At 40.5% G+C, this 24,422-nt stretch overlaps 1 long non-coding RNA gene across 1 annotated transcript in view, besides 1 other annotated feature; it reads right to left on the bottom strand.

Moving 5' to 3' along the window:
* LINC02698 (long intergenic non-protein coding RNA 2698) overlaps positions 1-24,422 on the bottom strand; it is a 242,222-nt gene that overhangs the window by 10,089 nt on the left and 207,711 nt on the right. The window lies entirely within an intron of this gene.
* Positions 21,385-21,434: a silencer, noted in NCBI's record as "silent region_3919". NCBI's record gives its function as "represses an Ori minimal core promoter by ATAC-STARR-seq in GM12878 lymphoblastoid cells {active_cell/tissue: GM12878}" and the evidence as "EXISTENCE:reporter gene assay evidence [ECO:0000049][PMID:35858748]".

Here is a 24,422-nt window from a genome sequence, read left to right as displayed (position 1 = left end):
ATCAACCCTCTCATTTATCCAGGCAAAGTTACTAGGGCTATAGGGGCTGATGTGACATGCCCAGTGTCACATAGCATTAGTGGGTCTGATTGAATGAAAACTCAAGTTTCATCTAAAAAATTGAAGGAGGTAGAGGGAAGAGAGTAGAGGAGTTTGGGGTAAGGAAGTGTTGGTAACCATGGAGTGTGTCATGGGGAGACATGGTGTGATTATATAATCTGTCTGTAGGAAGACAATGTTACAATGTCAGACTCAAAAAATCATCGAAAATGAAACTACATTTTATATGTAATTTTTCCATTCATCTTATGATTTCCTCTTTATAGCTTTATTATTTTAATCACTATGATTCTTCTATAATTCCTCAATTTGTCCATTCACATATCCATCATTCGACTTACCAAGTCACTGCTTGTCTATTTATCATTTCATCTTTCTTTCCTTCTTCCCATTCATCCATCTCTTTGTTCATCTGTCCATCCGTCCATCTATTCATCCACCCACTTATCCACCTATCCATCCATCCATCCATTCACCCATCCATCCATGTATCCATCCATCCATTTATCCATCTATCCATTTATCCATCCATCCATCCATCCACCCATCCATCTAAAAAGCACTCGTTGAAGTTCTACCATGTGCGAAATGCTAATCTGGGTGCCACAGAACTTTAGAAGGTAAGTGTTCTCAGGTGTTAAGAACAGTCTCCCCACAACTCCCGAGAAAAGGCACTATCTTCTGAATCATCTGGCAGAACACAAATATGAATTGTTCTGACCAATGCATTCTCTGTTCTGCTTTCAACCCTCATAAAAGCATAGTGGGGAAAGTCTCTGCCTTGGGAGCTGACAGGGAAGAGTTGATGCCTGACACCTACGATCAAACCTCTCTGATTCAAGCAATATCTGGAGGCCCATTGTTATCGCATATTTATTGAAGTCATATCCTCAAAGTAACCCTTACCAATAATCAAGGTGATAGGTTTGACCTTTGTCTTCTGTCTCCTGGAAGGAAGAGAGTGAGGTTGGAAGAGAGGGAATATTTTGTGGGCTGTAGAACCTCACCTCTATTCCGATAGGCCTAATTTGATCCACAGGAAGTCACTGTCCCCTAATCTTTCTCTTCTTTTCTCCTCTTTCCCAGGGAACAAGAGCCAGTCTTCTGGGGTTCCTGTCTCTTTCCTTCCACTGTCTATGACCAGCAGCTGAGAATAGGCCCATTCATCAGCAGTTCTGCCAGTCCCAGTTGTTATTGCTTATGTTTCCTCTGACACTACATTTTCCCCGACTTGAAATATATGTCATGATTTAATCCACCAGGATGAATGGTCTGATGTACAACCGTCTCCTCAATCCCACTGACACTTTATGAAAATGCTCCACTAAGTCCGATAAAAGGGCAGCTTTATGTTTTGAATGCTTATGACTTTATCAGATAAAATCCCAGTATAAAGAATTACTGGGATTTCAGGCCAGTTCCAGACTAGGAGAGAAAAGAACCCTATATTGAAGCCATGTGCGTTCTCTTTTGTATATAATCACAGAAAGCTTTTGAAGATGGAAAGCATGTGCGTTATACTCACTCATGTGCAGTGAAGGTGAAAATATGATGCTCTCAAATGAACCTGCGTTCTCAGCTCCCTCCCACTCTGCATCTTCCAGCAAAGCTAGGCTGAGCCTGCTTTTCTTGGGGCACAACTGAGCAGAAACAACATGGCTTTGGAGTCATCCGGACGTGGGTTCAAACTCTGGCTTTGCTATTACACTATGCATGATGTTGGGAAGATTACTTAAGCTCCCTGGAGCCTCAGTTTTCTCCACATTAAAATAGAAAAAGACTTGCAGCTATCACGTACTATTATTTCATTGATTCAATAAAACACAGTAACTTACTTACTTCATATGTTTGTCCTTTCCCTTCCATTTCCCATCAGATAATTTTTCATTGTTTTGTTTTCAGTTTTTGGGAGATTTACTTCCCTTTGTCTTACAAATCTTCCATTGATTTTTTAAAAAATGTTAGCCACTATAGCTTTAATTTCCAAGAGCTCTTTCTTATTTTCTCATTGTTCCTTAAAAATGATTGATTGATAATAATGATAACATCCTGTTCTTGTTTCTTTCCACATATTTTATGGGGATTTATTTCTTCTCACGTTTTTCTTCTGCTTCCTGGGTTGCTTTCTTTTCCTCTCAATTTTTTTTCCCTGATAATTTGGGCATTGCTTTTAGGGTTTCTCTAAGTGTCTGGTGATCTTGGGTGGCCCTTCAGCATGAGGTATAAAAGCCTTACGGGAAATTCCCTGTAAGGGCTTATCAACTGTTGGGACCCAATAGCCTATAGAGCAGGGCCCAGCCATGTCCTTGGGGATCCCCCAATGTCCACACCTTGAAGTCTTTTTTCTGTGATCTTCTTCTCCAGAGAACAACCTCAGCCTCCTGTCTGTGGGAATATGAGCAGGCTGGCAGAGTTGCAAGAATGCAGAAGAGCAGTAGCAAGGGAGGAGTTCAGAATATAGCAGTCACCTGATACCTTATTTCCCTGTGCATCTCCATAATCTGCCCTGCCAGCCTCTCTGATCACTTTGCCCTAGTTCAAGTCCCCCAGCCTTCCTTCTCTACCTCACATTATCGGCTGCCTGCCAAGGGATGCTGTACTTGCCATTCCTTCTGATTAGAACGCTCTTCAGGAGCCTGGCACCTCATCCTGCAGTGCTTGCCTTGGGCCACCTCCTAGAAAGCCTTGTTTGTCATTCTCTGTGCCTTTGGCATGTTTTGGGATATCATGACCATGGAGAACTCATCGTCTTCTCTGATGATATTATGTATTAACCTATGGGTCCATTTTCTGATTTCTTCCGCTAGAGTTAAAGCCCCTGGAAGGCAGGGAGCTTGTCTGTCTTGTTGACTGCAGATGCAGTAACATCTGAAACAATGTCTGGCACATATTTATCATCTGAGTGAAGGACTGAAAGAATGATTAGTAGAAGACAATATTGGAAAGACAAGTTGGGGCCCAGACTGAGTGGCCTTGGGTGCCAAAATGGGGACTCTGAATTGTATGCCATAAGCAATGGGGAACCGTTGAAGGGTTTTGAGGGGAGGGGTGAGGTCATCAGAGCTGGCCCTCAGGAAGGGTAATCTCGCAGGTCTGTGAGTTTGGAGTGGAGTTGGAAAAGGGAATGGAGGCCAAGAGTCCAGGGAGGTCCAGCAGTGCTCAGGTGAGAGATGTAGAGGGCCATCAGGCAGGGAACAACCAAGGGAATGACAGCATTGAGAGGTGGGCAGAAAGCAGTCGCAATCTGCCTTGCAATCGGTGCATTTGCTGGCTGCTCCCAGTGACGGCCCAGGCCTCCTTTGCCTCTTTCCTGCTCCTAACACCTTGTGCATGGCTTCACTCCCTAAGAACCAGGTATGGGGCCATGGCTGGCAACTTTGGTTCGTGTTTTCTTCCCTGGCTGCTGCCTCCACCCAATTTCTGGTCAAGGAGGACCCACAGCTGTCCGTTTAGTGGCTGCTTCTTTCTTCCCTGGTTGATTTTAAGCTTGGGGTTTGCAAGCGCTAGCCGCAACAGTTGTTTTCAATTCCCCAAGGCAAATTTAGAACCAATCGCCGAGTTCAGGCAGAAACAGGGAGGGGAGCCACTGTGCAGGTTTTGCCTTCATTAATAAGTTTCCCTGACAGCAGAAGGAAGTCTTTCCAGTCAATTCTTTGTAGTCAATTCCTGATCATCGTCCTCTCGTTGTTAATATTGTTGTTAAACTCCCGAAGCCTCGCTGAGTGAAAGCTAATTATAATAATTAACAGAGAACTCCTGAACTTGTCAAACTGGTAATTATAAACCACGGGGACTTTTATCATTAATAGATGCCATGGAAAGTGGAGGCACAGGGGCGCTGGCAGGGAGAGGCATGCAGGAGATGTTCCGGTCCTGAGCCAAACCTGCGTGCCACCAGGATGCGAGGACATGGCTTCCCTTGGCTCTGCGCCCGCCACTCGCTGTCTCTGCTTTCCTGCAAACCAGCCCCGAATCTCTCCACACAGCCACCTTCTCACCACTACCTCAGCGAGGCCCACCTTCCCCAAGCACACACACACTCTCTCTTACACACTCAAGCACTTAAATAGGATCAGTTTCACCATAGGAAGACTTAAATTTGTTCGTTCGTGCATGCAATTGCAAATAAAGCTTAATACCTGTCTTCAAAGAGTTTATAATCTGATGAATGAGGGGGAAATAATTTTAAGAGTCCTTTACAATACAATAGAGTTTTATAATTGCTCCAATGAAGGTATCTATTAGGTGCAATATGAGAACAGGAATAAGGTATCCAGACCTGCTGGAGTGAAGAATAACCCTGATATCAAAACAATCTAGAAAATGAAATTCTACTTTTAAAGTAGTTTTTTTTTTAAAAAAACGTTTCGTAGTTTCTAAATGCCTTTAAGGACTGGATGAAAGTCACAGCCTTTCACTTCAGGAACGAGCTCCTTCATGCCTACATGCAAAATCATTCCTGGAATTTCAACAGTCCACAGAGACCCCAAATTTTCATTCTACCTCTGTGGGAGATCTGTAGACCTCTATGCAAAAAGCTCCCTGTTGTGTAAAGCACTGAGCACTTTGCCTGGCACATAGAAGGCACTCAACAAAATTTAGTTTTTATTAATATTATGAATACTTTATATTCTTGTTTGGAGGACTATATAAGAGAAGGTATATGGAAGCATTTGGTTAGCTCCAGAACAAGATACAGGTCGGTTATTGCTATTAACAAACACTGATTAAGCCTGGTCACTGTCTTGTTTGCACAGGAAGGACACACACATGAGCTGCCGTCCCCATTGTGGCTTCCTCTCCCACATCAGCACTGCAGAGGAATCCTCAGATAGCTCCTCTAAGGAATGATTCCACCTCCCCTCTCCAAGGCTGGCCTAGGGTGTCTTATGCTGCAGGTACTTGAGCGCTTTCCAGCGGAAGCCTTAAGAATAGCCTGGCTCCCCCTGCCCCCGAGACTGTGGGTAGAGTTAATTCTGCTCTGATCCTGGGTGTTATCCCTCTCTCATGCCACTGAAGTGCTCATTAAAGGAAACCACTGCATAAGGGTTGCTTGAAGAGGCTCTAGTACCTCCACCCCCACCACCCTCCTACAGACCACCCCAATTAAACCTGCAATCTGAACAAAAACCACTCCCCTGCTATGCAAACACATGCTCAAGACGAGGTTCCCCCAGGACCCTTTTCCACCAAATTACCCCTCCCAAGTCCCTCCTAAATACAAATCTGGGAGCTGCCAAGAAAAACAAGTCTCTGTTGTCAGCTTCAATTGCATCCCTAGCTCAGGCCCCAGAGAATGAAGGGGACCTGGGGGCCATCCGAGGGACCCATGGTGATCTGGCAGGAGGGGCAGCTGCTGACTGGCAGCCCGCTCCCTGTCCAACTGTGCGTGCTTTGAAATTTGTGGGCTTTTGCTGGCAGGGTTCAAGAGTAAGGGCAAAGCTTGGGCCTGCTTCAAAGTCCCAGACCAGTTTTTATTTTTAGCCCAAGTTCAAAAATTGTCAGAAAAACTTCAGAGGCCTCTAGTCCAACAGCAGCTTTGGGTTTTGGCTGGAACAAGAAAGGGACAGACCACAGGCCACAGAGCAACTCTGAAAGAGGACTCAGAGGCCGGTCACCAGGATGCCCTGGAGCCTCCCTGGGAGAAGAGCAGTGGCCTCTGTGGAGTGTTCAGGGGAACTGGAAGATCAGTACCCCCAAACTTCCCCCACTTCCCGACTAGTCCTATGTCTCCTTTGCATAAGGGGAGAGGGTCAGGCCAGGCTTTATCTGGATTGCTTCTTGCCAGAACCACAAAAGACCAATTTCCTCAGTGAGAGCTTTTGTTTTCAGAAGGGGCCGCAGCTCATCCCGGGAGAAGCCATTGTTTCTGCAGAGGATTTTTAGATCAGCTGCTGGCTTCTGGTGCCCTTCTCCTGTGAGTTCTCCCGTTCTTTTTGTGCTGCCCTGCTTTCCTGGACATAAACAACAAATGGTCCTATTCACCCTGGAGATAAGATTGTGCTTCTCCCAAAGTCACTGCTGTCTTCTCACTGCCTCTGGAACTGTTTGAATAATGAGGCTCCTAGAGAATTTGTGTTGTTTTATCCTTTTCTTCACTGAGACTGGAGATTCCCTAGGCAGCCCTGGTGGGCAGTGCCTACAGGGGGTTGCCTGGGGGTGGCTAACACAGGGCAGCCGCCCAAGAGAGCTTTTTGTTTCTTACGTTAATCTGGGTGCCGTGGAACTTTAAAAAATGTTTATATATGCTGGTTTCTCTTCCTTTTATTTTTTAATTTTTTTTCCTGACAAGACAAACAATAGCTCTTAGGCAAAGAATTCCCCACCCTACAGAAATGGTGGAAACCTTCAGCCTGTGATTTCCTTCCACCTCCTAGAAGCTGCTATGGCTCCAGTAAGACTTGCAAAGGGAATGGAGAGGATGTCAGGCAGAGTTGGCAGCCAGCTTATTATGTCAAAGCACTTCTTCCTTTGGGATCTTGTCCACCCTCCATCCGCTGCTGGACTTATTGCTAGAAGACCTGGATTTAAGTTACAGCTCTGCTGCTTACTAAGCCTGTGACCTTAGGCAAAGCACTTTAATCCTCAAACTTCATTTTCTTAGTCAGTTAGAGGTGGTGGATAATTCTTCCAACTTCATGTTTGTGATGAGACTCAAGCAACAATAATGGATGAAAAAATGCTTTGTGAACTGACAAGTAATATACAAATGTCAAGTACTGTGATCATTTTATTATTACTATCCTAATGGTTGTTATCATTATCATTATTACGATAATCTGTGAGTAGTTGGTTTCATGGTAAACAACTAAGTTTGTTTCCAGACTTAGATTTAAATCTTGGCCCTGCCATTTATTAGCTGTACGACCACAAGCAAACTACTAAATTTCTCTGTGCCTTAATTTTCTCATTCACAAAAAATGGGAGTAATAAGGATACCACTTAATTCATAGGATTGTTAGGAAGTTTAAAAGATAACATAAAAGTAAAGTGCCCAGTACATAGCAAGTTCTTAACTAACATTAGTTTCCTTTGCTTTTTACCTTTTGTTAATCCTTTTAGGCATCCCTTGAATGTTTATGAAACACCCATCATATGCCAGACCTTGTGCCAAGTGCTCAGGATGCAAGAGATAAAGATTTGAGAAATGCATTGTGTGACTAAGGTGACAAAGAAACAACAGCAATTCACTGGGCTAAGTGGTTTGTACAACAACCAGGAGAGAGCAGATTAATTCTGTCTAGGAGCTCAGGATGGCACTTGAACCAGACTTTGAAAAATGTGCACAGGATTTTGCCATCAGAGAAACAAGGTGAGGACATGTTAAGCAGAGAGGACTTTGAACCAAAGCTCTGAAGCACAGAGGTCTATGATCTATCAGTGGCAGCAGGTGAAGCTAGAGAAAGCTGGGACCAGATTGGAAGAGGCCAGGCAGACTACCTGAAGGGGCTGGATCTTACATGAGAACACTGGGAAGCCCCTAAAATTCTGTAAGCAGGGAGGTGACATGGCTAGATGTGCTTTTCAGAAAGGCTTCCTGGGGCATGAAGAATGGACTGGACTGGAGGGGGAGGAATGAGTGGGGTAACAATAGAGGGGAATAATTCAGAAGACAGAAGAGGCCCAAATTAGGTAACTGGCTCGGGGAAGGAAAGGTTTGGACTTGGTGAAATGGAGCTGTGTGAAAAAAAGGAGTAGGAGCTGACTTGGGTGTCTGGTTCGGGAAAGAAGGAGGGTGGTGATGTCATTAACCTGGAGAAGGAACAAACTCAGCACAAATGATTCCCAGCTGTGCCTACTCTCAAACACAGAAAAGCCAGAAATAGGCTTGGCCCTGTGACCAGCAAGAGGGTACCCTATGATCAGATGAGATTAAGGGGCTAATATCCTCAACTGACTTTAAGGTCGAAAGAAAAAAGGACCTCCCCTAAGTCCCTATTTCTTTATGTGTTTTTGAGGACCCTAAGAAAAATGGGGGTGAATAATTGTTTAGGAAAATATAAACATAAAGACTGTATTATTTTATAACTACCTTACAACTATAACTACATTGCATAATATAAAGTGGTAAAATTATAAATGTTCTAGTGTTTAAAAATTAATGGAACCATGGGTGAATTTTATTTGTATATACTTTTCTATGTTTTTCAAATCTTCTATCATGAACATACATAATTTTTATAATGAAAAAAAGTTAACTCTAAAAAAATGCGCAAAAGACTTGAGTAAACACAGAAGATAACCAAGTAACCAATAAATAAAAAGATCCCTACCTTTATTAGACATCAAGAAAATGCTATGTAAAGTCACTATACAATGCTACTACACATGTAGCCAACTGATAAAATGAAAAAGATGGAAAATATCAAGTGTTGGCATGAATGTAGAAAAAAATGGAACTCTCATACATTGCTTGTAAGGAGTGTAAATTTATAGAATTATTTTGTAAAACTTCTTGTTAGTATATTTTATGTACACTATAGCTGAACATATGCAAACACTACAACCAAGCAATTCCACTCTTAAGTATATATCCAAAAGAAATGCATACATATGTTGACCAAGAAATAAGTAGAGTGTTCACAGTATAACTATTTGTAGTCATACCAATCTGGAAACTATTCTAATGCCCATCAATAGTACACTAGATAAATAAATTATGATATATTAATACAGTGCAATATGATGCAGCAATGAAAATTAGCATTCTACAGCTATATGCAATAGTAGGAATGCTTCTCAAACACATAATTTTAAGTGAAAGAATAGAGACATTTATAGGAAGACAAAGCCAATCTATGCCATTTGAAGTCTGGATGATGCTTACCCTTGTGGAATGTATAACTAGAAGGGAGCATGGTGAAGGCTTCTGGAGTCCTAGTAATGTTTTGTTTCTTATGGGTGCTGATTATACAGGTACATTTCTGGGAATTCATTGAGCTGTATGATATAGTGTATGTATGTTATACTTCAATAAAAACTTAAAATATATAAATATTAGTCTAAAAATCAACTAAAATAGAGCAGTAGAAATAAGAGACTGGTGATTATACCAGTAATATTTAGTGGAACTCCCTGGTTCCCTAGCCTGGTTTTAGTGTCTACAGGTGATGGTAGGAGGAGAGAGCTAGGTGCTAGGAATGGTAACACAGAGGTAAAAGACATCTACACCAGCATTTCTAGATCCATAAAGCCCCAGGATCTGAAAAAGAAATACATTTCTTCTTATTGAGTATAGGAACAAGTACCTAATATTAGGAATGGAAAAGGTGATACTACTACAGATCCCACAGAACTAAGAAGAACATGAAGCTATTATAAACAACTCCATACCAATACATTTGCAACTGTAGGTTTAATGGACATATTTCTCAAAAAAAAAAAAAAATCCCACAACTTACCAAAACTGATACAGAAAGAAAGAGAAAATCTGAATAGTCCTACATATAATGGAGAAACAAATCTATAGTTTCAAATGCTCACACACACACACACACACATATACACATACTTCAGGTCTAGATGGCATCTGTAGTGAAATCTACTACATTTAAGGAAGAGATAGCAAAACTTTTACAAAAATTTTTCCAAAGACTTTTGAAAAAGAGGGAATTCTCCCCAGTTCATCTAAAGCATTAGGAAACCTTGATATCAAAACCTGACAAGAATATTACAAGAAAGAAAAAGTGTAAGTCAAAGTTACTCACAAACCTAGACAGAAGATTCATAAGCCTGATATCATCAAATAAAATTAAAGAATATATAAAAAAGATACCTTAAGTTTATCACAAAAATGCAAGGTTGATTTAATATTTAAAAAGAGTGTAATTCAGGCCGGGCGCAGTGGCTCACGCCTGTAATCCCAGCACTTTGGGAGGCCAAGGTGGGCAGATCATGAGGTCGGGAGATCAAGACCATCCTGGCAATCACAGTGAAACCTTGTCTCTACTAAAAATACAAAAAATTAGCCAGGCGTGGTGGCAGTCACCTGTAATCCCAGCTACTCGGGAGGCTGAGGCAGGAGAAAGGGGTGAACCCAGGAGGTGGAGCTTGCAGTGAGCTGAGATCATGCCACTGCACTCCAGCCTGGGTGACAGATCAATACTCTGTCTCAAAAAAAAAAAAACAAACAAACAAACAAAAAGAGTGTAATTCGAAAAACCGGGAGCCAAGATGGCCGAATAGGAACAGCTCCAGTCTACAGCTCCCAGCGTGAGCAATGCAGAAGATGGGTGATTTCTGCATTTCCAACCGAGGTACCGGGTTCATCTCACTGGGGAGTGCAGGACAGTGGGTGCAGTGCACCATGCATGAGCCGAAGCAGGGCAAGGCATCGCCTCACCCAGGAAGTGCAAGGGGTCAGGGAATTACCTTTCCTAGTCAAAGAAAGGGGTGACAGATGGCACCTGGAAAATCACATCACTCCCACCCTAATACTGTGCTTTTCCAATGGCCTTAACAAAAGGCACACCAGGAGATTATATCCTGCACCTGGCTCAGACGGTCCTATGCCCACGGAGCCTCGCTTATTGCTAGCACTGCAGTCTGAGATCAAACTGCAAGGTGGCAGTGAGGCTGGGGGCAGGGCACCCGCCATTGCCCAGGCTTGAGTAGGTAAACAGAGTGGCTGGGAAGCTCGAACTGGGTGGAGCTTAGCCTGCCCTGAAAGAGCTCCTGAAGGAAGCACTAAACATGGAAAGGAACAACTGGTACCAGCCACTGCAAAAACATGCCAAATTGTAAAGACCATTGAGGCTAGGAAGAAACCGCATCAACTAACGAGCAAAATAACCAGCTAACATCATAATAACTGGATCAAATTCACACATAATAATACTAACCTTAAATGTAAATGGGCTAAATGCTCCAATTAAAAGGCACAGACTGGCAAATTGGATAAAGAGTCAAGACCCATCTGTGTGCTGTATTCAGGAAACCCATCTTATGTGCAGAGACACACATAGGTTCAAAATAAAGGGATAAAGGAAGATCTACCAAGCAAATGGAAAACAAAATAGGCAGAGGTTGCAATCCTAGTCTCTGATAAAACAGACTTTAAACCAACAAAGATCAAAAGAGACAAAGAAGGCCATTACATAATCGTAAAGGGATCAATTCAACAAGAAGAACTAACTATCCTAAATATATATGCACCCAATACAGGAGCACCCAGATTCATAAAGCAAGTCCTTAGTGACCTACAAAGAGACTTAGACTCCCACACAATAATAATGGGAGACTTTAACACCCCACTGTCAACATTAGACAGATCAATGAGACAGAAAGTTAACAAGGATATCCAGGAAATGAACTCAGCTCTGCACCAAGTGGACCTAATAGACATCTACAGAACTCTCCACCCCAAATCAACAGAATATACATTCTTTTCAGCACCACACCATACCTATTCCAAAATTGACCACATAGTTGGAAGTAAAGCACTCCTCAGCAAATGTAAAAGAACAGAAATCATAACAAACTAACTGTCTCTCAGACCACAGTGCAATCAAACTAGAACTCAGGATTAAGAAACTCACTCAAAACCACTCAACTACATGGAAACTGAACAACCTGCTCCTGAATGACTACTGGGTACATAACGAAATGAAGGCAGAAATAAAGATGGTCTTTGAAACCAACGAGAACAAAGACACAACATACCAGAATCTCTGGGACACATTTAAAGCAGTGTGTAGAGGGAAATTTATAGCACTAAATGCCCACAAGAGAAAGCAGGAAAGATCTAAAATTGACACCCTAACATCACAATTAAAAGACTAGAGAAGCAAGAGCACACACATTCAAAAGCTAGCAGAAGGCAAGAAATAACTAAGATCAGAGCAGAACTGAAGGAAATAGACACACAAAAAACCCTTCAAAAAATCAATGAATTCAGGAGCTGTTTTTTTGAAAAGATAAACAAAATTGATAGACCACTAGCAAGACTAATAAAGAAGAAAAGAGAGAAGAATCAAATAGATGCAATAAAAAATGATAAAGGGGATATCACCACCGATCCCACAGAAATACAAACTACCATCAGAGAATACTATAAACACCTCTACGCAAATAAACTAGAAAATCTAGAAGAAATGGATAAATTCCTCGACACATACACCCTCCCAAGATTAAACCAGGAAGAAGTTGAATCTCTGAATAGACCAATAACAAACTCTGAAATTGAGGCAATAATCAATAGCTTACCAACAAAAAAAAGTCCAGGACCCGATGGATTCACAGCCGAATTCTACCAGAGGTACAAGGAGGAGCTCTTACCATTCCTTCTGAAACTATTCCAATCAATAGAAAAAGAGGGAATCCTCCCTAACTCATTTTATGAGGCCAGCATCATCCTGATACCAAAGCCTGGCAGAGACACAACAAAAACAAGAGAATTTTAGACCAATATCCTTGATGAACATTGATGCAAAAATCCTCAATAAAATACTGGCAAACCGAATCCAGCAACACATCAAAAAGCTTATCCGCCATGATCAAGTGGGCTTCATCCCCGGGATGTAAGGCTGGTTCAACATATGCAAATCAATAAACATAATCCAGCATATAAACAGAACCAAAGACAAAAACCACATGATTATCTCAATAGATGCAGAAAAGGCCTTTGACAAAATTCAGCAACCCTTCATGCTAAAAACTCTCAATAAATTCGGTATTGATGGGACGTATCTCAAAATAATAAGAGCTATCTATGACAAACCCACAGCCAGTATCATACTGAATGGACAAAAACTGGAAGCATTCCCTTTGAAAACTGGCACAAGACAGGGATGCCCTCTCTCACCACTCCTATTCAACATAGTGTTGGAAGTTCTGGCCAGGGCAATCAGGCAGGAGAAGGAAATAAAGGGTATTCAATTAGGAAAAGAAGAAGTCAAATTGTCCCTGTTTGCAGATGACTTGATTGTATATCTAGAAAATCCCATCGTCTCAGCCCAAAATCTCCTTAAGCTGATAAGCAACTTCAGCAAAGTCTCAGGATACAAAATCAATGTGCAAAAGTCACCAGCATTCTTATACACCAAGAACAGACAAACAGAGCCAAATCATGAATGAACTCCCATTCACAATTGCTTCAAAGAGAATAAAATACCTAGGAATCCAACTTACATGGGATGTGAAGGCCCTCTTCAAGAAGAACTACAAACCACTGCTCAATGAAATAAAAGAGGATACAAACAAATAGAAGAACATTCCATGCTCATGGGTAGGAAGAATCAATATCGTGAAAATGGCCACACTGCCCAAGGTAATTTATAGATTCAATGCCATCCCCATCAAGCTACCAATGACTTTCTTCACAGAATTGGAAAAAACTACTTTAAAGTTCATATGGAACCAAAAAAGAGCCCGCATTGCCAAGTCAATCCTAAGCCAAAAGAACAAAGCTGGAGGCATCACGCTACCTGACTTCAAACTACACTACAAGGCTACAGTAACCAAAACAGCATGGTACTGGTACAAAAACAAACAGAGATATAGACCAATGGAACAGAACAGAGCCCTCAGAAATAATGCCGCATATCTACAACTATCTGATCTTTGACAAACCTGACAAAAACAAGAAACGGGGAAAGGATTCCCTATTTAATAAATGGTGCTGGGAAAACTGGCTAGCCATATGTAGAAAGCTGAAACTGGATCCCTTCCTGACACCTTATACAAAAATTAATTCAAGATGGATTAAAGACTTAAATGTTAGACCTAAAACCATAAAAACCCTAGAAGAAAACCTAGGCAATACCATTCAGGACATAGGCATGGGCAAGGACTTCATGTCTAAAACACCAAAAGCAATGGCAACAAAAGCCAAAATTGACAAATGGGGTCTAATTAAACTAAAGAGCTTCTGCACAGCAAAAGAAACCACCATCAGAGTGAACAGGCAACCTGCAGAATGGGAGAAAATTTTTGCAACCTACTCATCTGACAGAGGGCTAATATCCAGAATCTACAATGAACTCAAACAAATTTACAGGAAAAAAACAAACAACCCCATCAAAAAGTGGGCAAAGGATATGAACAGACACTTCTCAAAAGAAGACATATATGCAGCCAAAAAACACATGAAAAAATGCTCATCATCACTGGCCATCAGAGAAATGCAAATCAAAACCACAATGAGATACCATCTCACACCAGTTAGAATGGCGATCATTAAAAAGTCAGGAAACAACAGGTGCTTGAGAGGATGTGGAGAAATAGGAACACTTTTACACTGTTGGTGGGACTGTAAACTAGTTCAATCATTGTGGAAGTCAGTGTGGCGATTCCTCAGGGATCTAGAAGTAGAAATACCATTTGACCCAGCCATCCCATTACTGGGTATATACCCAAAGGACTATAAATCCTGCTGCTATAAAGATACATGCACATGTATGTTTATTGCGGCACTATTCACAACAGCAAAGACTTGGAACCAACCTAAATGTCCAACAGTGATAGCCTGGATTAAGAAAATGTGGCACATATACACCATGGAATACTATGCAGCCATAAAAAATGATGAGTTCATGTCCTTTGTAGGGACATGGATGAAGCTGGAAACCATCATTCTCAGCAAACTATCACAAGGACAAAAAACCAAACACCGCATGTTCTCACTCATAGGTGGGAATTGAACAATGAGAACACATGGACACAGGAAGGGGAACATAACACACCGGGGACTGTTGTGGGGTGGGGTGAGTGGGGAGGGATAGCACTGGGAGATATACCTAATGCTAAATGATGAGTTGATGGGTGCAGCACACCAACATGGCACATGTATACATATGCAACAAATCTGCACGTTGTGCACATGTACCCTAAAACTTAAGGTGTAATAATAATAAAAAAAGAGTGTAATTCAAAATATTAAGAGAATATAGAAAACTAATATGATACTCTTGATCGAAGCATGGAAAGCAATTAATAAAACCCAACACCTACTCATGGTAAAAGCTCTAAGTGATATAGAAATGAAAATTATTTTATAAGAAAAAGTTAAAAAGAAACAGCCAACAACAGTCTTAATGAGAAATATTAAAGCTTTTCCTTCAAAGATGAAAACAAGACAAGGATGGACTTCTGTTAGAAAAACATGTACTGGAGCTTCTAGCCAGCACATTAGAGAACAAATAAAAATAAAAATTGTAAAGGGATAGTGAACACTGTCAATATTTACAGATAATATTATATTAAACATAGAAAATCCAAAAGAATATATGATAAATAATCATAATTTAAAAAATTATTGAGAAAGGTTGTTGAAAACAAGGTCAATATGTAAAAACCAAATATAAGTGTATAATACTAGCAAAGAGCTGGAAAATAGATTATTCTTTAGATATTATAACCTAGTCATAATAGCATCAGAAAATATAAAATAGTAATAAATCTGATAAAAGGTATGAAAGACTTCTACACATACATACACCCCCAAAAAACCCTATAAAACATTATTGGAAAAATTAAAAGATCTAAATTCATAAGCATTAAAAACTAAATACTGTGAAAACATCAATTATATCCAAACTGAGCTATATATTCACTTTAATATCAATCAAAATGTCAATAGTTTTTCTTTATTCCTTTTTTCTTTGTGAAATTGAAAATGTATTATTTTAAAATGTACATAAAAGCACAAATGGCCAAGAAGCTAAGACATTCCTTAAAGAAGAACAAAAAGGTAGAAGGATATACCACTAAACTATAATAATTAAGATAGTGTGACATTAGTACAATGATAGTTAAATAGACCAATGAGGTGGAAGAGAGTTTAGAAAATACCATACATGTATGGACATTGGCTTCTGAGACTGTGGAACTGTGGGAATAGGACAATCTTTTCTATAAATAATATTGGAACCCTCGGATACCCATATACAAAAAATAAACTTGACCTTTATACCAGAGCATATACAAAAATTAATTTCAGTTGGTATTCATATCTGAAAGTGAAAGCACTATAAAGATTCTATGTGATAATATAGGATATTATTTCTATGGACTTAGGAGAAAAACAGAAATTATTTAGAAGCACATAAAAGTACTAATCATGAAAGAAAAGGCTGTTAAATTAGACTACACTAAAACTAAGAACTTCAACTTATCAAAAGATACCATGAGTAGAAAAAAAAAACATGTGCTCAGACAGAGAAGTTATTTGCATCCATATAAAGTAAGCAAAGATTCAATCTAAAATATATGAAGAGCTCTTACAAATCAATAAAACACAGACAATTAATTAAAAAGTGGGTGAAAAGGGGACTTCATAAGAAAAGATATTTCAGAGGCCGGTAAACATATGAACGTGATCAACCTTATTAGTAATCAAGGAAATGAAAACTAAAACCACAATGAAACACCACTACACATCTACCAGAGTAACTGAAACTCACAAGATTGGTAATAGCAAGTGTTGGCAAGGTTGCGCAGCCACTGGAGCACTCAGACATTGTTGATGGGACTGTACGTTGGTACAATTACTTGGAAAACAGCTTGGTATTACCTGCTAAACTTAAACTTACATATATTCTATGACCCAGCAGTTTCAATCCCAAGTAAATATCCAGCAGAAATATACACATGTGCACCAAAAGACACGTACAGGCTGGGCAGGGTGGCACACGCCTGTAATCCCAGTAACCTGGGAGGCTGAGGCAGGAGAATTGCTTGAACCCAGGAGGTAGAGGTTGCACTGAGCTGAGATCACACCACTGCACTCCAGCCTAGGCGTGAGACAAAGTGAGACTCCGTCTAAAAAAAAAAAAAAATTGTGCAGGGATGTTGTTCATAGTAACATTATTTATAATAACCCCAAAGTGAAAACAATCCAAATTCTAACAGTGGAATAGACAGATGAATGGGGTATATTTGTACAGTGGTAAAGTATACAGCAATGAAAATAAACTGCTGTATGCAACGATGGGTGACTCTCATGTATATAATAGTGATCAAAATAAGTCAAATACAAAATAATATATAGTATAAGTCTATTTATATAAAGTCCCAAAATAGGCAATATTAATCTATAATCTTAGAAGCCAGAAGAAGAGTAACCTCTGGATAAAAATAAGCCTCCAGAAGTAGAAAGAGAGTAGTGAGGGGGAGGAGGGGACAAGAAGAGAGCATCTTGGATGCTAGAGGTGTTTTATTTCCCAATCTAGGTGACGGCTTCCTAGGTGTCTATTGCATGATAATTTGTGGAACTATGTAGTTTCGTGTTTTGTGTGTATTTCTGTATGAGTGTTATATTTCAATTGAAAAAACGTTTTAAAGAAAAATAAGCATAATGTCCATGATAAACTAGAAATAGTTTAAGCCCTCGGCTGCATAAGTGGATTGAAAAGGAAAGGTCAAAGGAACTTTGTGAAGGGAGGATAAATTAATGAAAACAGGGGTGTACTTCAAATAGCAAATTCACAGTAAATGGAGGTTATTTTTACAAAGTCAACTCTCAACTTCCTTTTTTTCGTTGTCTTCATAAATCATGCAAAGCGGGCTGCCTGCCTTGGCAGTTCCATACTAAAATTGCTCCACATACACATTCATGTGTCCTCCCCTATTTGAAGGTAAACAAGTCTCAGCCAAGACAAAATTGAAAAAGTTTGTAGGGTATTTCTTTTGTCTCCAGTTTCTTTCTGTAGCTTTGGTGTATTTTTTCAAGTTCACTGGGCTTGCAGTCAGAACCTCAGGTACAAGTTCAAACTAAATATCTCTTGTTTCATAGTCACTGGTCCTGGGAATAGTTACTTGACAGCTCTGAGCCTCAGTTTCCTTTTTTGCACAACAGGAAGAATACAAATGCCTGCCTCCCAGAATTGTGAACACTAAGTGACACAAAGCATACACACACACACACACACACACTTCAAACCTCAAGGTGTACACCTGAAAGGGACTGCTCTCCCTCCCCGCCCATCTCCTTGGCAATGCCCATTTCAGGTGTTAACTCTTTTAACCCTCCCCCCTGTATCATAGCAGGGAAGAATCTGATATCAGTAATTTATATTCCAAGGATTGATTGATTATTCTCCAACTGGAGCTCAGCCAGGCATTTGCATTTTATGCCTTTTATTCCTAATTGTGGCATGAAAGTCTTTTTCCCTTGTTAAAAGAATCTGAGACATCAGCAAGAAGGTGGAGAGCTCCAGGGGCAGTGAGGGGAAGCTTGAAATCACATTAGCCAGATTCTGCTGTTCTGAAGGTGAATCTGATTGAGCCCTTTTCAAGTGCCTTTTATTTTGCTGGAGATGGAGTGTAGTCAGAGGGACTGCCCCCGTTAAATGGCCCCTGCTCTGGTAGACTGGGTCAGGGAGAAGGTATGCAGTCATCTGAGGATATTGAAGTCCCAAGCCATGCAGATGATAAAAGAAAGTGAATCCCTCAGCCACTATTTTTAGGACCCAAAGCCTGCCTCACTCCAAGGGAGGGCAGCTACAGTCCTGCCCTCCTACCACCCCTTACACCTCTTCTGGTTTGAATTCAGCTCTATCTTCTCCTCCAATTCTCCTAAACTTCACCTAATCACTGCCACCCCTTCCCTCTGTCCCATGCAACCCCGAGGACTTTCAGCATCATTTTATTTCACTTTTAAAGACTGTTCCTACCTTAATCTCTCTCACCCGGTAGCCTAACGTTTATTCCTAGGCCTCGTTTATAAAGTCTACATTTGGTTATAATATTTCAGAAATATGTTTTTGTAATTTTTCTCCTTGGTTAACAAAGATGTTGCTGTCCTGAATATGTTTAAAAGAAAAAGGAAGTTGAAACAATACAGGAAACTCAAGAGGAACTGGCAGGATGAATTGGTGCAAATTGCTAAGTACACAAGGATGGCGTAAAGGAGCATATTGTCTGACCAGAAAAACCCGACTAGGTAGAGAGAGGGGAACTCTCAAGATCTTGTGTAGTCCACCAAAAAGTGTCTGAAGCTTTGACTTGGATAAATAGGTGCTGGGCTGAAACCAAGGAAGGCAGACTTTCTAAGATGGGATTCAGGTGGCTGCAAAGGGAGTTGTTTGACTCAGCATTGAGAGGCAGAATTTGGGCAGCCAGCAAGAAATGACGGAGTTAACCAGACATCCAACTAAAGGAATACTAGGTGTGAAATAAGGCAGATGAGCTTGTTGAGCCCCTGGTTTCAGAAATGAGGAGATGCACCTGTGATGGATCCATCTAACTATAGCTTGGCCTGAAGAGGAGCTCACACCAGAGAGGTTGTCTCGCACTTGAAGTGGCTGGATGAGCATGGCAGAGCAGTAAGGAGGCAGGGAGGTCCAGAGCCCGCTTCCTCCAAGACTCAAGAGAAAAGACAGGAGAAGCCCAATCCTCTGTGAGGTGTGAAATGTGGAGTGAAATATACAGGGCACTGTCAACTTTGTTGTTGGAGGAGGTGGCTGTTTATTGCTTTAATGGGAAAGTGTAGCAGATCTAGTCATCTCAGAACTGTTCCTACAAATTCACATTTTTCTCTACAACCCACAGAATCTCTCTCCTTTCTCTTTTCTGCCCTTTATAATACACACCTGACCTCTCAGGTCCCACCTTCTGGTTCAGGCCTCCTCCCCTTCAGAATATAAGAAGTAGAGGCATCTTTTCCAAGTCATCATGTTGGATGAAAATGGCTTCTTGCTACATTCACATTAAAACTTGAAAATGGAAAAGAAAAAGAGAGGGGGAAAAAGTAGCTAAATAGCAATGTTCGCTCAGCATGATTTTGCTTTAATCCAAGCCTGTGAGCTTACCAGGGCTCAGAATAAACGAAAGCAGATGCGTCCATCACACCAGCAGATATATTACTACTAATCCGAGACAAGATGACAAAAACACATCACGCCTGGACCCCACACTGTTTCCATCTTAATCCGCCTCTAATTGCACTGGGCATGCTGCCTGCACACCTCTGTCCTCTGATGCTCCTCTGGTTCCACTTGCATCCTGGAGTTGGCCAGCGCCAAAGGGGCCCTTTTTGCTGGAGCAGAGGTGGCATCTGGGGTTTGTGTGTGTCTTGGAGAACAGGATGATGCAGCTAGTGTGGCAAGAAGAGGACTCAGCCAAGGGCCAAGAGGTGTGGTTCAGCAGCAGGAGAGGGTTAGACGAGACAGTTTATGTGAAAGTACCTAAAGCAACTCTTGACACATAGCAAAACTCAGTAAATGCTACCTTCTCCAAATAGGAGCTACCATTATTCACTGCCTACTGTGCGTCATGCACATTTTCTAATTAAAAAATATGTAAGTAATGCTTGCTAACTGTAAAAAAAAAAAAAGTCTAACACTAGAGAAGTTTATAATCAAAGAGTAAAAATTTCCTGGTTTTGCACACCTTCCCCCCAATGCCACTCCTCAGGGATAATCACTGTGAAAAAAAAAAATGTATATATATATATATAAATATACACACACACAGAGATATACACATACATACACGCGAACACACTTTGACATATATAGATGTATAAAAATATACAAATATATATTTTAACAGTCTAGGTGTATTATATAGTAAATAATATTAATGTGTAATATATATTCTATATAAGTTTATAACTGTGCTTGTGCATATGTATATGTATATACACACATGTATATGTGTATACATGCATGTGTGTTTTTATATATTGCTTTCATACTATATATACTACGCTGCAACTTTTTCAAAATTTAATGTTGAGGGGCTTCAAGGTGGCTGACTAGAGGCATCTGGTAAACGCCTTTTCCACAAAGAAGAACCAAATAGTGAGTAGATAATCACACTTCAAATAGATCATCAAAGAGAGAGCACTGGAATTCAATATAGAAGTAACAGAAAACACTTAAAGCACGGAAAAGAGAGGGAAGCAAGGCAGACTGCTCAGTAGGATTGGCTGAGAGCCTGGAGAGGCTCTCTAATGCAGGGAAAGAGTAAGCAAGTGACCTCCAGTGATGTACATTCCAACCATGGACTCCTGCATCTTAGCTACAGGAAAACTCCTAGACCCTCGCAATCCCTGTGACTAACATAGGAAGCTGCCTAAAGACCATGTGAAGGTATTGCTCCGGAGAGGGAGCTCATACTAGGGCTCACCCTTTCCCTCATGAAGCCATAAGCAGCTACAGCAAGGTTCCATATTAAAAGCCCAGCCCCCGCAACACTGCATCCCGTCCAGGGGCCCAGTAGCCCCTGCATTTCCACATCTCTGGAGCCCAACTTATATTCCTTACCTGCAGCCACTGCTGCAGCTGGCTGCTGCCTCCAGAGCTAAAGCACTAGCCATTGGCAAAGATCCTGCTGCCACCAGCAGCAAAGTTTCCATGCATTTTCACATGCCTCAAAGACAAACTCCCCCACTTGCAGCAGCTGCTGCTGCAGGCTATAGCAGCTGGGGCCAAAGCATAAATAAAGTGCATATTTCCCAGCTGCCGGCATATGATTGCTGCCGCTGAAAGCAACACTGCCCTCACCAGTAGCAGGGCTGCAGTGCAGCTGCTGCCACACCCACCTAAACATTTTGCCTTGGGCCTGGGGATGACCTCACCCTGGCCTACCACAGACAGCATCTGCATGTACCACCAGTGGTCCTGATGACAGATTTACCTGGCCTGGTTCCATTTTTTCAGTGCCCAAATATGCCATCCAGGGGCCTGGGGACTACCCAGCCTGATCCACCATCCTTGGCACCTGAGCAGTCTTTCTGGGGGTCTGAGGGTGGGATCACCTAGCCTTCTGCTACCACCAGAGTGGCATCCCCCCCTCCCCACATGTGCCACCTCCAGGCCTGGGGACTAGGCCACCTAGCCCATCACAGCCACTGTCAACACCAGTGCAGACTGCTTAGGACCCAGAGGTTAGCGCTACCACTGCTACCTCCATCACCCATGCCACACCCACCTGCGAAGCCCACCACTGCCACTAACAGCACCTGAGTAGGCTGCCTGGAAGCCCAAGAATAAGCTGACCTGAACCTGCTAACATCCGTGCCAGAATATGCCACCCTGGATCCCAAGGACAGGCATGCTCAGCTTGCCACTGCCACTACTGGGGCCCAAGGAGAGGCCCACCTGGTATCCCCATCCCCAGAAAAACATCACTACATCCTTCGTCAACAACCACACCCTAAGCCACTGAGGAAATCACAGAAACCACTGGTGCTGTGTACAGCCAAATAAGTCACATGAAGACTACACTACTGCACATACTCAGAATCAAAGCCAAAGTGCCTTACCCAACTGAAATCATAGATATATCTTTAGGAAAAATTGTCCCCTACAAAAGCAAAATTTTAAAAAATTCAAGAAGTGACTGTTACACCAGATGCACAGATATCAACATAAGGACACAAGAAGCATAAAAAAGCAAGTAAAATATGACACTTCAAAATATGACACTTCCAAAGGAACGTAATAATTCTCCAGCAACCAGGTTCCAATCAAAAAGAAATTTATGAAATCCTGGATAAGTAAGTTAAAGTAATGATATTAAAGAAGCTCAGTAAGATAAAACAGAACACATAAAAACAATACCTCAGAAAAACAATTCAGGACATGAATGAGCAGCTTAGCAAAGAAATAAATAACATTAAAAAAAAACAAACAGAAATTCTGGAACTGAAGAATTCATTAAAAAATAAATAAATAAATAAATTTGAAAGCTTCAACAATGGAATAAGTCAAGTGGAGTAAAGAATTTCAAAACTTGAAAACATGTCTTTTGAAATAACTCAGTCAGCTAAAAGTAAAAAAAGAATAAAAAACAATGAACAAATCCTATGTGACACTTGGGACACCATAAAGCAATTAAATATATAAATATTTGGTGTCCCAGAAGGTGAAGGAAAAGGGTTAGAAAATTTATTCAATGAAATAATAGCAGAAAACTTCCCAAGCCTAGCAAGAGATTTAGACATCCAGGAAACACAGAGTTCTCCAAACAGAAACAATGCAAAAAGCCTCTGTGGGACATTATAATCAAGCTGTTAGAAGTCAGAGACAAAGAGAGAATTCTAAAAACAGCAAGAGAAAAGCAGCTAGGTCACTTATAAGGGACTCCCCATCAGACTAACAGATTTCTCAGCAAAAACATTAGAGGCCAAGAGACAATGGAATAATATATTGAAAATGCTTTAAGAAAAAAGGATATACAAAACAACCAGAAATCAATTAATAAAATGACAGGAAGAAGCCCTTACACATCAAAAATAACCTTGATTTTAAAAAGATCTAATATTATGCTGCCTACAAGAAATTAATCTTAACTATAAAGACACATACAGACTGAAAGTAAAGAAATAGAAAAAGATATTCCATGCAAACAGAAACCAAAAGCAAGCAGGAGTAACTATACTTGTATCAGATAAAAGAGAATTTAAGTCAAAAACAGTAAAGAGACAAAGAAGGTCATTATAACAACAGGACATAACAATTCTAAACATATGCACCCAACAATGGAGCATCCAGATATATAAAACATATATTATTAGATCTAAAGGGAGAGATAGGCTCTAATAAAATAGTAATTAGGGACTTCAACACCCCAGTCTAAGCATTAGACAGATTCTCTATACAGAAAATTAACTTAGAAACATTGGAATTAAACTGCACATTAGACCATGTAAACTTAACATGCATTTATAGAACATTTCATGCAATAACTACAGAATACACATTTTTCTCAACACATGGAACGTTCTTCAAAATAAACCATATACTAGGACACAAAAAAGTCTCAATAGCAAGTTTTTAAAAATCAGTCATATCAAGCAACTTATCAGATAACAATGGATTAAAACTAGAAATTAATAACGAGGAACTTGGAAAACTGTAAAAATACATGGAAATTAAACAACATTATCCTGAATAGCCACTGGGTCAATGAAGACATTAAAGAGGAAATTAAATAATTTATTGAAACTACTAAAGATTGAAACACAATATGCCAAAACCTGTGGGATACAGTAAAAGCAGTGCTAAGAGTAAAGTTTACAGCAATATATGCTTACATCAAAAAAGTTAAAAAATTATAAATAATCTAATGATGCATCTCAAGGAACTAGAAAAGCAAGAATAAAACTCAAAATTCATAGAAGAAAAAAGATCAGAACAGAAGTAAATGAAATAGAGACTAAAAAATACAAAGAGTCAACGAAACTAAAAGTTGTTTTTGAAAAGGTAAACAAAATCAGTAAACTGTTAGCTAGGCTAACCAAGAAAAAGAGAGAATACCCAAATAAACAAAATCAGAAATGAAAAAGAAGACATTACAACTGATACCACAGAAATACAAAAGATTTTCAGAGACTATTATGAACAACTACACACCACTAAACTGAAAAACCTAAGGAAAATGAATACATTCCTGAAAACAAACAACCTACCAAAGTT

The sequence above is a fragment of the Homo sapiens genome, chromosome 11 (genome assembly GCF_000001405.40).
Source record: "Homo sapiens chromosome 11, GRCh38.p14 Primary Assembly".
Classification (NCBI taxonomy): domain Eukaryota; kingdom Metazoa; phylum Chordata; class Mammalia; order Primates; family Hominidae; genus Homo; species Homo sapiens.
The sequence above is the reverse complement of the archived record's forward strand: the minus strand, read 5'-3'. Positions and strand labels throughout refer to the sequence as shown.